Source organism: Homo sapiens, chromosome 10 (assembly GCF_000001405.40).
Source record: "Homo sapiens chromosome 10, GRCh38.p14 Primary Assembly".
Classification (NCBI taxonomy): domain Eukaryota; kingdom Metazoa; phylum Chordata; class Mammalia; order Primates; family Hominidae; genus Homo; species Homo sapiens.
The window spans coordinates 85,545,581-85,559,543 of NC_000010.11; the positions used below are offsets into that span (position 1 = coordinate 85,545,581).

General features: G+C 34.8%; 1 long non-coding RNA gene across 4 annotated transcripts in view, besides 1 other annotated feature; it reads right to left on the reverse strand.

The window, feature by feature from the left end:
* Positions 1–13,963, reverse strand: part of LOC105378404 (uncharacterized) — a 46,329-nt gene that overhangs the window by 8,502 nt on the left and 23,864 nt on the right. For 2 of the 4 annotated variants that reach the window (XR_946156.3, XR_001747523.2), the window contains one exon: positions 9,911–12,664. This is a non-coding gene — a long non-coding RNA (uncharacterized LOC105378404). Of the gene's footprint in view, positions 1–9,910; positions 12,665–13,168; positions 13,344–13,963 lie in introns of those variants that run through there. The other 2 variants (XR_007062220.1, XR_946157.3) reach the window with 2 other exon arrangements.
* Positions 12,364–13,563: an enhancer, noted in NCBI's record as "P300/CBP strongly-dependent group 1 enhancer chr10:87317701-87318900 (GRCh37/hg19 assembly coordinates)". NCBI's record gives its function as "activates an origin of replication core promoter dependent on BRD2, BRD4, P300/CBP, MED14 and CDK7 cofactors, with strong dependence on P300/CBP, by STARR-seq in HCT116 cells {active_cell/tissue: HCT116}" and the evidence as "EXISTENCE:reporter gene assay evidence [ECO:0000049][PMID:35650434]".

Consider the following 13,963-nt stretch of genomic DNA (forward strand, 5'->3'; position numbering starts at 1 on the left):
TAACCAGGGCCTTTGCATGTGCTGTTCCTTCTTACTCAAAGCCCTTCTCCAGATATTTACATGGTTCATTCCCTCAGTTCATTAAGGTCTCTGCTCAAAGGACATGTCTCAGAACATGCTTCCCTGGTTTATCAAAAATAACCATCTTTTATGCTTGATCTCCTTACCCAACTTCAGTCTCCTTCTGAAACATTACATTATATATTTATTTATTCATCTTTTGTCTGTTTTTTGTAACACACCATGGGTTCCAGTCCTCTCTATTCCAATGCCCAAATCAGTGCTGGCACATAGATAATAAATGTAAGTGATCTTTGCCTTCCTGCTTTCATTCCCTATCCTCTCTGAATGAGACTACAGAATCTCATTCAGAATATATGAGAATCAGAGTTGTATTTTTATAACTAAAGGAGTCTTGCTCCCTCTCCTACTATTATAGGCACCACCACCTTCGCCTATGAAACCCACATTAAGAGTGCATTCTCTGTTCACTTCCTCTTCTGTGTCCTTACAGCATGGAGCTTCCTGAGCTCTGCAACCACGTCCTCTGCTAGGGGGAAGCTGGAAGGAATCAATTGCTCCCCGGAACTGCCTGCTTCATCTTCAGATCTCCTGCTGCATCTCTCTAGTAAGTGCCTAAGCGCAGCTGTGTGCTCTGCAGCCAATGGCTGGTATCCTTATAGGCACCTGGAAAGCTTTATGAGCCTTTATGGCACTCGATACATAATAAATAATAATATACTCCAAGATGATCATTCTATGACTGCTGCTATAATGAACCATTCAGGGGGAAGTAATAACCATGAGCAAATAGAAAAGCAAACAAAGAAACAATATGTTTTGCTGGACCTAAAATGAATCTAGGAACACAGAGAGATTCATCAGAAATTGAAATATTTTGTTGACAAAGGCATGGAGATAATAGGTGTGTTTAAATGTGCCTTTTTCTGAACAGCTCCACTGTGGTCTGCCAGCACACTGTTCTCCTGACCTCACACTCATGGAGGTGGCACAGGGGGACAGGGGAAGAGAGGAGACAAGCGTGGTCTCCTCGTCATAGTTTGTGACCTGAAGCCATGAGTCCAGTGAAAGCTAGTTTTTCTCTGACTCCAACAGGCCAGCAGTTGGGCTCTCAGAAATGAACAATAATGAGGTATGTGATCCTTTAACAGAACCTAGTCAATAAATATATCCTATACTACAATAACTCTTTTTTCAGCTCCTGTACTGGTCAGAGGGACTTGAGGTACAGTGTTTTACAGTCCTTGTCCCATTGAAGGAATATTGCTGATGTCTGAATGTTTAATAGCAATAAAACACAAGGTGCCAAAGATCGGATTCTGTTAAAAACTAATGGCTATACTGTATAATTCCATTTATAGAGCAACCTTGAAATGAAAAAGTTACAATAATGGAGAACAGATCAATGGTTACCAGGGGTTAGAATCAGAGGAAGAGTGTGATTATACAGATATAGCAGCATGAGGGAGTTTTTTTGTAGTGCTGGAAGAGTTCTATATCTTGATTGTGGTGGTGTCAACAGAAATTTATACATGTGAAATTCCACAGTACTGCATATCATCATCAACATCACCACCACCAACAAAAGCTGATAAAAGTCAAATAATTCCTATGGTTTAATTAATAGTGTTGTAACACTACCGATTTTCTGGTTTTGAAAATGTTACTCTTGTATATAAGATGTTGTCATTGGGGAAAGCTAGGGAAAGTACACACAGGAACCTCCAGTATTATTTTTGCAACTTCTGTGAGTCTTAAATTAGTTCAAAATAAAAATTTGAAAAAAATGCAAAAAAAAAAAAAAAAAAAAACCCTAATGGATATATTCCAGTTCTGTGTCCTTTGGAGTAACTATGTTTTTGTTGTCTTTCCCATTGCTGTGACTACACAATCAGGAGAGAATATATGGAGGAGATATTTTAGGACAATGAAAAGCAAATAGTAGCAAATGGGTTGGAAAGAAGACCAGAATTCAAAGCATCACCACATGGTGGTGAGTTTATGCATTTTTTCCCTATGTTATCCTCTAGGCTGAATGCAATTCAAACTGAAACCAAGAGGTGGTCATTGGCACAAACAGAGAGGCCTCCAGGAAAAACTCTCCCATTCTGGCTCCAGGAGGTGAGAAAGGAACTCTGAAATCTCAAAAGGAATGTGGAAATCCTCTGTTGTCAATGTTGTGTTGCTGTTGTTTATCCTCCAAGTAATATCACAGCAGTAGTGGCAGAAGCCTCGCTATTCAGTGGGGTTGGGAACCCAGGAGTGTAGAGAGAGCTACCATTGCCTTTTTCCTCATATATCATCCTTCCACTTGACCCCAGACAAAATGTAGTCATGGAAGTGCATGGCAGGGCAGAAAAAATAAAGTCACAACACTTTCTCTGGAGGACCAAAAAGAGGAGTGCTAGGGACCCTTTGGAGTCTGTAAAAAGCCACTGGATATACTTTACCTGAGAGACTGTGAAAAGGGAGGACACCAAGAAGACATCCCCCATAAAGTAGTTTAAGAAATCCTGGGTTCACTTTCAGTCTGCACATGCGTGGATCTGATTCTACTGAGCATATAAAGATTTAGAGGACAGAACTAATAACGAGATCATTGACCAAGTCTCAAATCCACCACAGGGTGGCACACATGTGGGCAAAATCTGAATAGCACTGTGAGGCACTGAGCAGTGAACTGAGATTGAATTCACAGCCCACAGAAGGCAAGTTGAAACTTGTAGTCTGAACTTATTCAGGTTGCCTTGCCACTAAGAGAACCATATCAACATTTGCCATAGAATTTAGATAAGAACCAGAGTACAAAACATAATATTCAAAATATCCAGGAATTAAGCCAAAATTACTTGCCATGGGAAAAAAAAAAACCACAAGAAACTTTCAGTTTGCATGAGAAAAGACAATTAACAGTCACAAATGTCAAGATGACACAGATGTTGGAATTACCTGATAAAGACTGCAGAGCATCTATTATTCGAAGGGCCTGAGAAGCAATAGTAAACACTCTTGAAAAAAATGGAAAAACGGAAGGTCAACAAATAAATAACATATAAAAAGAAGAATCAAATAGAAATTTTAGAACTGAGAAGTATAGTAACCAAAATGTAAAACTCACTGGATGGGCCTATTAGCAAAAACAGAGAGGGAAAAAATGAAGAGAGCCCCAGAGATCTGTGTGACAATAATAAAAGATTAAAATGCATGTCATTGGAATTTTAGAAATAAAGGAGAATCTTCATAAATATAATAGGCTATTTTCCTCTTCTCTAGTTTTTAAAATTTATTACATGTTTGAAGCAAAAATTATAACATTCATCTGATAACGTTTTTAATGTAAGTTGTTGTAATATGAAAACTATAACGTAAAGGAAGGAAGGTAAGGGGACCTATGTGATGTTAAGTTTTCTATATAATGTACTAAAATTCTTAGAAGTTTACAAAAAAAGAAAGTGTATATATTTTAATTATAAGAGCAGCCAGTAATAAACAGATGAAGTAAAAACCATAATAGATCAATTAAAACAGAATAAAAGAAACTTAAATGTCACTCAATGAAAACAAAAAAGGAGAAACAAATGACAAATAGAAGTGACAGAAAGCAGACAATGAAATAGTAGAGTTAAATACAAATCTGTTAATAATAATCTTAAACACAGCAATTAAGAGAAATTTTCAGAATGGATTTTTAAAAATTACTCAACTATACGCTGTCTACAATAAACTCACTTCAAAGATAACAAAATAGGTAAATGAAAAGAAAAAGGATAGACAATTATGTCCCATGCAAACATTAACCCACAAAAGCCTGATTGGCTATACTAATATGAGAAAAGGATAGTTCAGAGCAGAGAAAATTACAGGGAGTCCTTGCATATGAAATAACAATAACAATCCTACATGCATGTGTATTTAACAACAGAGCTTAAATATGCAAAACTGACAGAAATTAAAGGACAAATACAAACATTTGTGATTATATTAGGAGATTTCAATATATCACTTAGTAATATAGAGAACTAGAAGGCAGATAGTCAGCAAGGACATTGAAGAATTGAATAAAACTATCAACCAATTGCATATAATTGATGTTTACAGAACACTACACTCAATGACAGCAGAATACCCATTCTTTTTAAGTCCACATGGTACATTTACCAGGATACTCCATAACCTGAATCATTTAAAAAACTTTATGAAGTTTAAAATAATTAAACTCTACAATGTTCTCAGACTTTCATGGAATTAAACTAGACATCAATAATAGAAAGATGACTGAAAAATCAGCAAACATCTGCATATTACCTACCCCACTTTAAAATAATCTGTGAGTCAAAGAGAAAGTTCCAAGATAAATTAGAAAAAAAATAGAACTTAAAGAAAATAAAAGCACAAATAGATCAAAGATGTTGTGTACAGTTAAGGAAGTGATTAGACTGAAATTCACAGCAATAAATGCATTTATTAATTAGGAAAGAAGAAAGTTCTTAAATCAATATTCTATGCTTCTAACTTAAAAAATAAGAAACAGAGCAAAATAAATTCAAAGCAAGTTTAAAGAAGAAAAGAGTAAAGATAAGAGTAAAGATAAAAGATAAGAGTAAAAAATTTTTTGTTTAATTCAGACAACAAATATTAAGTATCAATGAAAGTAAAAGCTGGTTCTTTGAAATAATAAATGAAATGGATAAATATCAAGATTGTTAAAAAAAGAGAAAATATATAAATTACCAACAGTAAAAATGAAAGAGGTGCTCTCACTAAAAATGACATACATGTAAGAAGAATAGAGAGTGAATAGCCAGCTCAACTCTATGCACTCTCTTCAATAATTTATCTGAAATGATACAATTCCTCAAAAACTGTAAACTACAAATTCAGACAAGATGAAATAGACAAATCTTCTTACATATATTAAATAATTCGAATTTGTAGCTCAAGAGTCTCCTGAAAAAGAAATTCCAATCTCTGATGATTTCCCAGTGTAGTTATATCAAATATTTTAAAAAATAACATCAGGTGTCGAAAATGTCTTTCAAATAATAGAATAAAAATTTTGTCTACATAATTTCATGAAGCCTGCATCACTCTGTACCAAAACTAAAGCAGGACAGTAGAAAAAAATGAAAACTACAGACCAATATCTTGCATTAAAAGATGCAAGAATTGTCAACAAAATATTATTAAATTTAATGAAGCTACATAAAAATCATCATAATGACAATGATAATCCACCATGATCAAATGGAATTCATCCCAGTAAAATATGACTTGGTTCAATGTTCGAATAGCAATCAATGTGATCCATCACATTTAGAGTTCGAAGAAGAAAAAATACATTATCAGATCAATTGATGAAGAAAAATAATTTGACAAAATTGAGCATTCATTTATGATAAAAATTCTTTGCAAACCAGGAACCGAAAGGAACTTCCTCAATTTGATAAAAGGTATCTACAAACAAAATCTACAGCTACTATCATACTTAATAATGAAAGTGTGAATGTTTTCTTCTTCAGATTAGGAAAAACAAGGAATCCTTTCTCACTATCCCTATTCAACATAGTACTGGAACTTTTAGCCAATGCAATAGGCAAGAAACAGAAATTATTTTTTAGAAATAAATTAGACATGAATAAATAAAACTGTCTTTATTCACGGGGACATGCTTGTCTGTATAGAAAATCCCAAAGAACAAAGATCAAAAACAAATAACAGATGTTGGAGAGCATGCAGAGAAAGGGAGTGCTTATACACTGTTGGTGGGAATGTAATTTAGTACAGCCACTTTAGCAAACAGTATGGAGACTCCTCAAAGAACAAAAAATAGAACTACCATTTGATCCAGCCATCTCATCATTAGGTATCTACCCAAAGGAAAAGCAATCATTATATCAAAAAGGTATCTGCACCTATGTTTATTCTAGCACTATTCACAATAGCAAAGATATGGAATCAACTTAAGTATCCATTAAAGGATGATTGGATAAAGAAACTGTTGTATGTATATACAATGGAATACTATTCATCCATAAAAAGAATGAAATTATATCTTTTTGCAGCAATATGAATAGAACTGGAGGCCATTAAGTAAAACAAGTCAGTAACAGAAAGACAAATACCACATGTTCTCACTTCTAACTGGGAGCTAAATAATGCGTACACATGGGCACAGGGTGTGGAATGATAGAAAATTGAGACTTAGAAAAGTGAGGAACTAGGAGGACATGGACAATAAGAAATAACTTAATGGGTACAATATATGTTATTCAGGTGATGGATACACTAAAAGCCCCGACTTCACCACTAATCTATCCATGTAACAAAATTACACTTGTACCCCATAAATGCATACAAGTAAAAAATGTCTAAAATAACAAAGTTGACAAGGTTGCAAAAAGTAAGTCAATACTGAAAAATTAACCATTTTTTATATACTAACAATGTACAATTAAAACCAGAAATTAAAACAAAAACAATACCATTTATAATAACTCCAATAACAATGGAAACACTTTGGCATAAATCTGGAAGAAAATCAAATGGAGAATCTGTATGTTGAAAACTATAAAGTACTGTTGAAAGAAATTAAAGAAGACCTAAATAAATGAAGAGACCTACCATATTCAGGCATTACAAGATTTAATATAGGAAAGATATTAATTCTTCCCAATTTGATCTGTAAATGAATTCAGTACTAACCAAAATTTCAGCAGAATATTTTGTATAGACAAGCTGATTCTAAAATTTATGAGGAAAGGCAAAGAAATTTGAATAACTAGAGTAATTTTGCAAAAGAAATATAAATTCATTCTGAGAAATCATACTGTCCAATTTTAATAATTACTATAAATCAAGTAATCAAGTAATCAAAACTATGTACTATTGGTAAGGATCAAACATGTAGATCAATGCAACAGAGTAGTGTCCAGAAATTAACCCACACAAGTGTGGCCAATTTATATTTCACAAAGCTACAAAAGCAATTCAATGAATACAAGTATCCTTTTCAACAAATGATGATAGAACAATTTGACATACACAGACAAGAAAATAAACCTTAACCTACATCTCATACCTCATATAAAAACTATCTCTGAATTGATCATACCTCTAAATGTAAAGTGCAAAACTAAAAATTTAGGAGAAACTCTTCAGGACCTAGGGCTATGCAAAGAATTAGAATTCTTAGATATGACAACAAAAGCCTGAAACATAAAAGAAAAAAATGATAAATGGGGTTTCGTCAAACTTAACAAACTTTGCTCTGCACAAGACATTATCAGAAGGATGAAAAGACAAGCTGCAGACTGAGAGAATATATTTACAATTTACATATCTGACAAAAGACATGTACCGGTAGTAAATAAAGAACTCTGAAAACTTGACAGTGAAAAAACAAACAACACATTTTTTCCCAATGGGCACAAGATGTTGACAGACACTTCACCAAAGAAAAAACATGGATGTCAAATAATCACAGGCAAATATGTTCAACATCATCAGTGACTAAATGAAAAATTAGGATCGTGATGAAATATCACTGCCACATACTGAATGTCCAGACTATACACTACTGTCAATATCAACTCCTGTCAATGATGTGGAGCTTCTGGAACTCTTGCACATTGCTAATAAGAATGTAAGATGCTGCAGCTGCTGTGAAAAATGGCTTCTTTAGTAGCCTCTTCTAAAGTAATCATATGCTTATCATATGGCTTAGCAGCTCACTCCTGGGTATTGACTCTACAGAAATGAAAACTTATGTTAACACACAAAAATCTATACAGGGATACTTATATGTCTTTATTACTAATTGATCAAAACTAGAAATAACCCAAATGTTTCTCAATTAGAAAACAAATAAACAAATAGTGACACATTCATACAGCGTGGGTATCCCTCAGCCATAACAAGAAACAATCACTGATACACGCAAGAACATGGATAAATCTCAAAAGCATCATGCTGAGTGATGCAAGCCAGTCTCAAAAAGTCATGTATTATATGATTTCATTCATACAGTAGTCCCCAGAAAAAAAAAAAAAAAACTATCATGATGAAAACAGATCAGTGGTTGTCAGAGGCTGTGTGTGAGTGAGAGGTGGCATATAAAGAGTTTGCATGAGGGAATTGTTTTAGAATAATAGAATGGTTGTGTATGTTAATTATGGTGGTGGTTACATAGATCTACACATGTATTCAAATTCATAGAAATGACAGTAGTAAAGACAGTGTGGTACGGACAAAAAAAAAAAAAAAAAAAAAAAAAAAAAAAGACCGATCAATGGAGCAGAATAGAGAACCCAGAAATAATTCACATAAACATAGCCTACTGATCTTTGACAAAAGAGCAAAGACAATTCAATGGAGAAAGGACAGTCTTTTCAACAAATGGTGGTGAAACAACTGGACAGCCACATACCAAAAAAAATGAATCTAGACACAGGCCTTATACCTTGCACAAACATTAACTCAAAATGAATCGAAGACCTAAATGCAAAACTATAAAACTTCTAGAGAATAACATATGAAAAAATCTAGGTGACCTTGGGTTTGGTGAGTTTTTAGATATAACACAAAAGCACAATCCATGAAGAGAAACTGGATAAGCTGAACTTCATTAAAATTAAGAACTTCTGCTCTGTCAAAGACACTGTTAGGAGAATGACTGAGAAAAAAACAATTGCCTATCAGCTATCCAATGGCTAGTATACAAAATATGCAAAGAACTCTTAAACTTCAAAAATAAGAAAGCAAACAACTCAACTAAAATGGGCAAAAGATCTGAACAAGTAATTCACCAAAGATTTACAGATAGCATACAAAAAGATACTCAACAACACGTCATTAGTTAATTACAAATTAAAATAACAATGATAAACCATTGCTCACCTATCAGAACAGCTAAAATTTTAAACTCTGACAACATCCAATGCTCACATGGACATGGAGCAACAGAAACATTCATTCCTTGATAGTGGGATTTGCAAAATGATTCAGCATTTTGGAAGACAGTCTGGTGATTTCTGACAAAGCTAAACATCATTTTACCATACAATCCAGCAATCACCAAGTAAATTTACCCAAATTATTTGAAAACTGATGTCCCACAAAAACCTGCATACAGACATTTATAGCAGCTGTATTTAGAACTGTCAAATCTTAGAAGCAGCCAAGGCATTCTTCAATAAGTGAATGGATACACTATGATACATCCATACAATGGAATATTATTCAGATTTTTTTATATGAGCCATCAAGCCACAAAAAAGACATAGAATAATCTTAAATGCATAGTACTAAGTTAATGAAGTCAGTCTGCAAAGGCCATATTCTGTACAATTTTAACTATATGACTTCAAATTAGAAAAAACTATAGAGGCAATAAAGAGATGAAGGGTTGCTAGGAAAAGGGTGGATGAGAAGAAGGTAGGCATGAGTAGGTGGAGCCCGGGGGACTTTTAAGGCAGTGAAACTATTCTGTATGATATCGTAATGGTAGATACATAACATTTATATTTGTCAACACCCATAGTACTGTGTAACACAAAGTGTAAACCCTAATGTAAAATATGGAATTTAATTAATAATAATATACCAATATTGGTTCATTAACGATAACAAGTGTACCACATGAATGCAAGATGTTAACTGTGTGCAGGGTATGGGGGAGAGGAGTAGTATATGGAAACTCAACTTTCTGCTCAATTTTTCTGTAAATGTAAAGCTGCTTTAAAAATAATGTATATTAATTTTAAAAGCATAGAACTGTACACTCTGAAAGAAAAACTCTACTGATAATTTCAAAAACAAACTGAAAATAAAAGCAACCTAGGTGTATAATAACAGGTGAAAGTTTATATGTGCACACAGAAAAATCCACTCGTTCATCATTCAACAAATATTTATTTAGATCTCCGTGGACTCTTTATGTCATAGTAAAGTAAAACATACATGCTCAGGATATTACCGTTTTTTCTTCTTCTTCTAAGAAAGAAGTTAATTACTTCTTTCAGTTAATTAATTCTTCTTCAGTTAATTACTGTTGCTTAATCTGTATCTCTTGCAACTCTCCAGTCTGTGGAACTGTTTTCCTTCTTTCATAGTCAGCTTAGGTTTTCTGGCTGAGCATTTTCTTCACTCTCTTGCTGCTACCCTTGCCTCACTTATCCTCTTGCCAAACTCGTGTGATATGTGTGCTGTCATTCACCTATTTTCCATCTTCGCCTTCTCACATAGCTCAATGAGCGCTGTGGGAGAAAGCCCCGAAGCAGCCCTTGGCATGGTGGTCACTGCATCAACTCTGACTTCAAAGAGGCGCACAGCACTAAGCAGTATTCCTCTTCTATCTTTCTTGAAAGATTTTACTTCGCAATTGTGATTTTTAAATTTCTCCATTTAAAAATAATAGCTGATCCCACCACCCTGTTTGCTCTCAGCAGTTAAGCTTTTGTCACAAGTAAAATAGGAGTTGTCCCATGAGCTCTACCAACAATTTCCACTCTAAACTGACAAACGTAGACTCATCCTGATTCATTGCTCTTTGTTACTGCCTGTTAAAATGGAAAGCTTCTTCCTCAAGGAGTGTTCTTGCTTTCTTGGGACCTCATCCTATCAATTATTTCGCCATGATTTGCTCTACTATTGTCAAAAAATCTCTGTCTACAAACTTTTCCTTAAAAGCATTCATACTTTATTAAATCTTTCCCAGCTTTGGAAGAAAAAAAAAAACTTCAAATAAACATTAGAGCTTACCTCCTATCTCAATAAGGGAAACCTTATCGAGAGCCCTTTTCATTTCTCACTTTCTATTCACTTCCTGATTCCAGTCATCTGATTCTTTGCCATGCAGCCATAAAATTGTATTCAAAAAGATACTAATGCTTTCTTTAATACCAAATCTAATTGACACATTTTTATCTTTATTTTCCTTGATCTTTGATCGGCATCTAAAATTTTCTTCCCTTGGTTTCTGTGACTTCATGCTCTGTTCTCTTCCTCATTTTTTTGTTTGCTCTTTCACAGACTCCATTGTCAGCTTTTGTTCTTTTATATTTCATTTATATGTTGGTCTTCATACTGTACACATAGTCCCTGAACAACTTCTTTCTTTCATTCTTACAGATCCGATTATGTATCTTAACTCCAGAAGTCTCACTCTTGAATTTGCTTTATAACCAACCCCCATCAGCATCCTCTACTTATATTTCCAAGAATACCTTAGAATTGAAATGAAAATCAAAACTCTTTATCTTCTCCCCTTCTTCAATAGTTTCTGCTTTAATTGTCTATCCAATTATCTAAACCAGAATCCTGGGATCTAGCCCTAACATATTCCTCTAATGCCTCATATCCAATCAATTTCCAAGCCCTCTTGGTTTCATCATCCAAACATCTCTTGAATGCGATATGTTACTCTGCAATGTCAATCACAGCCTAAGTCAAACTATCATCATATCTCATATAAATTATGAATTTTGTCTTTTAACTGGTCTCCTGGCTTCAACTTTGTTTGCCTCTGGTATATTTTTTCACACAGCAACCAGGGTTATCTTTCTCAAGCAGAGTTCCGATTAGATCACTCCTATGCTTAAAATAATTCAATGGCTCTTCTGGTATTTAAGCTAAAATATCATCTCCTTAGCAGAGCTCACACTCTTTCACAATTTGACCCCCATCGAACTCTACTGACTCAGCTTTCATCACTTCCCATCCACACTCTATTTCCCAATCAATCTGAACCATGTGCAATTTCCAGGATGCACACAGTTCTATCTCATGTCTACAGGTTCTATCTCAATGCCCTATTCTCAAAGAATGGAACACTCTTGAACTTTTTTTGCCATGCTATCTTCTATTTATTCTTTAATTCTCAGTTCAGATACCATCTACCCTAGATATCTTTTTCTGGGTAAGGACTGCCACAGTACTCTGTATTTATTTCTATCACAGCGCTTGTCCCACTATTGTAATAATTGGTTACTTGCCTACTCTTACACTAGTGGAACTTCTTGAGGGCAAATTTAAAATGCTGCGCCTAATTGATCTCCATGTTGCTGTCCAGACCCACAGACGATCAAGGAATGTTTAAAGAAGGAAGTTAGAAAATCAGAAAGAAAGGAAGAAAAGAAAGAAGGAAGGGAGAAAGGGAGAGAGGGAGAGAGGGAGAGAGGGAAAGGATGAAGAAAAAAAAAAAGGAAAGCAAAGAAGGAAGTACATGCCCTTTAAGATTACAGCTATGTAAAGGTGCATCATACTAACAGATATTTTGTTCCGGGTATGAGATTATGGGTGATTCACTCCTAGTTATGAAACTGTGTTTAAAGTTGTTACATTGTTTCAATAATTAAAATGTTACTGATTTTTGTTCTACAAGTATGTGACAGGTACTCCTGGTATGACAGAGACTGCTCTCTGTTCTTCAAAAGGTGTTTCTTCTTCTTCTTCTTCTAGGCGCAGGCCTAGACTGGGTTTCATAGCCTTCCTCTCTGCCAGTAGGGCCATAGGACCAAGTTCCAGCAAAGAGACTATGAACAGTAGTGACATGTACCACTTCAGGATTTGATCCTCAAATTCCTCTCACAGTGATCCTCTGCTCTTTCTTCCTGTCTGGAAGGTGGCCAGAGAGAGCATCATGAACCTAAAGGAGGGGAGAAATACAATTTAAAAAAGTCCAAGTCCTTGAGTGATTGCTTGAAAAGTCTCCCTACCAGAAACACTCGATTGGGCTTTATTTGGGTGAGATTGAGTTTCTATGGGGTGAAATTATTGAAGTTTGAGAATTTATCTATATGGCAGTTAAGCTAAAGTACTATACTTGGTGAACAGTTTAACATGGAACCACCTAGATACTGAGATGACCTTGATTTATAATTGGCTTGTTGTAGAGCACATGGGAAGCTGATATCACCAAAGCTGATTCCTACAGCTATGGAAGGATAAAATTTATCAGTTAGTAAAAATAATTCTATCACGAACAGTTTGAATGTAAGGGAATACTAGATACAATATTGTCCATCCCTCCATATTACACGTGGGAACTCGGAGGTGCAGAAAGGGAAAGCTGAGTCATGTGTTGCTAAGTCACGCTCTGCTTTCAACTTTCCCAACCACATGTCAGGATGCCTTGTCTGGGACAACTCACAGTTCATTGATTGTCCAGATAGCAACATGTGTGCTCTGGCTGCCTAGACGTGACACTCCTTTTCAAGCCTCCATGGGCACTCTTCCTGAAACTGCCTCTGTGGTTGAGGAGGATCACCTTCTCAGAGAGAGGAGAATAGTTCTTTGACGAAGAGCATTCAAGGAGCTGAAATTCCCTGCTAGAACATTTAGAACACTTAGTCCTCAGCCAAGAGGGTTCTTGTGACCTTGGACTAAGAGCAAACTTGCTTAACCAGATATGAAAAAATAAAATAAAATAGTATGAGGTAAAAATGAATTAATTAATTTTGTTATATTGTATTTTAAAATTTCTGTTTAGTAAAGAATGCTGTCGATTTTATTAACCAATGACAGACTGGGAGGTGATTGTGGAAAGATATAATCCCTTATTCATTTCTGGTAGAAGTGCAAAATGAGATGCCATTTGGGGCTATCTGATTTAGAAATATCTGGGAGTGTGCATGGAAGTTACATATGTGCACACTCTATGATTCATCCATATCACAAAGAAAATTTCTGCATAGGTCTACAAGAGGTTGAGTAGAAGAACAGAAGGCATTCAACTGTCCATTGCTAGAAGAATAAAAGTCAAATGGGAAGGATGAATACTGTAATAAAATGGATCACTGAGAATTTATCAGAACATTGATGATCTGCATAGTACAACATAAATAAATAGAAAACAAGCAAGCAAATCACTGAGGGAATTAAGTATAAAACTAAGCTGTATATTTTGTGTAAACAGATATATGTGTGTATGTATACATATCCACAT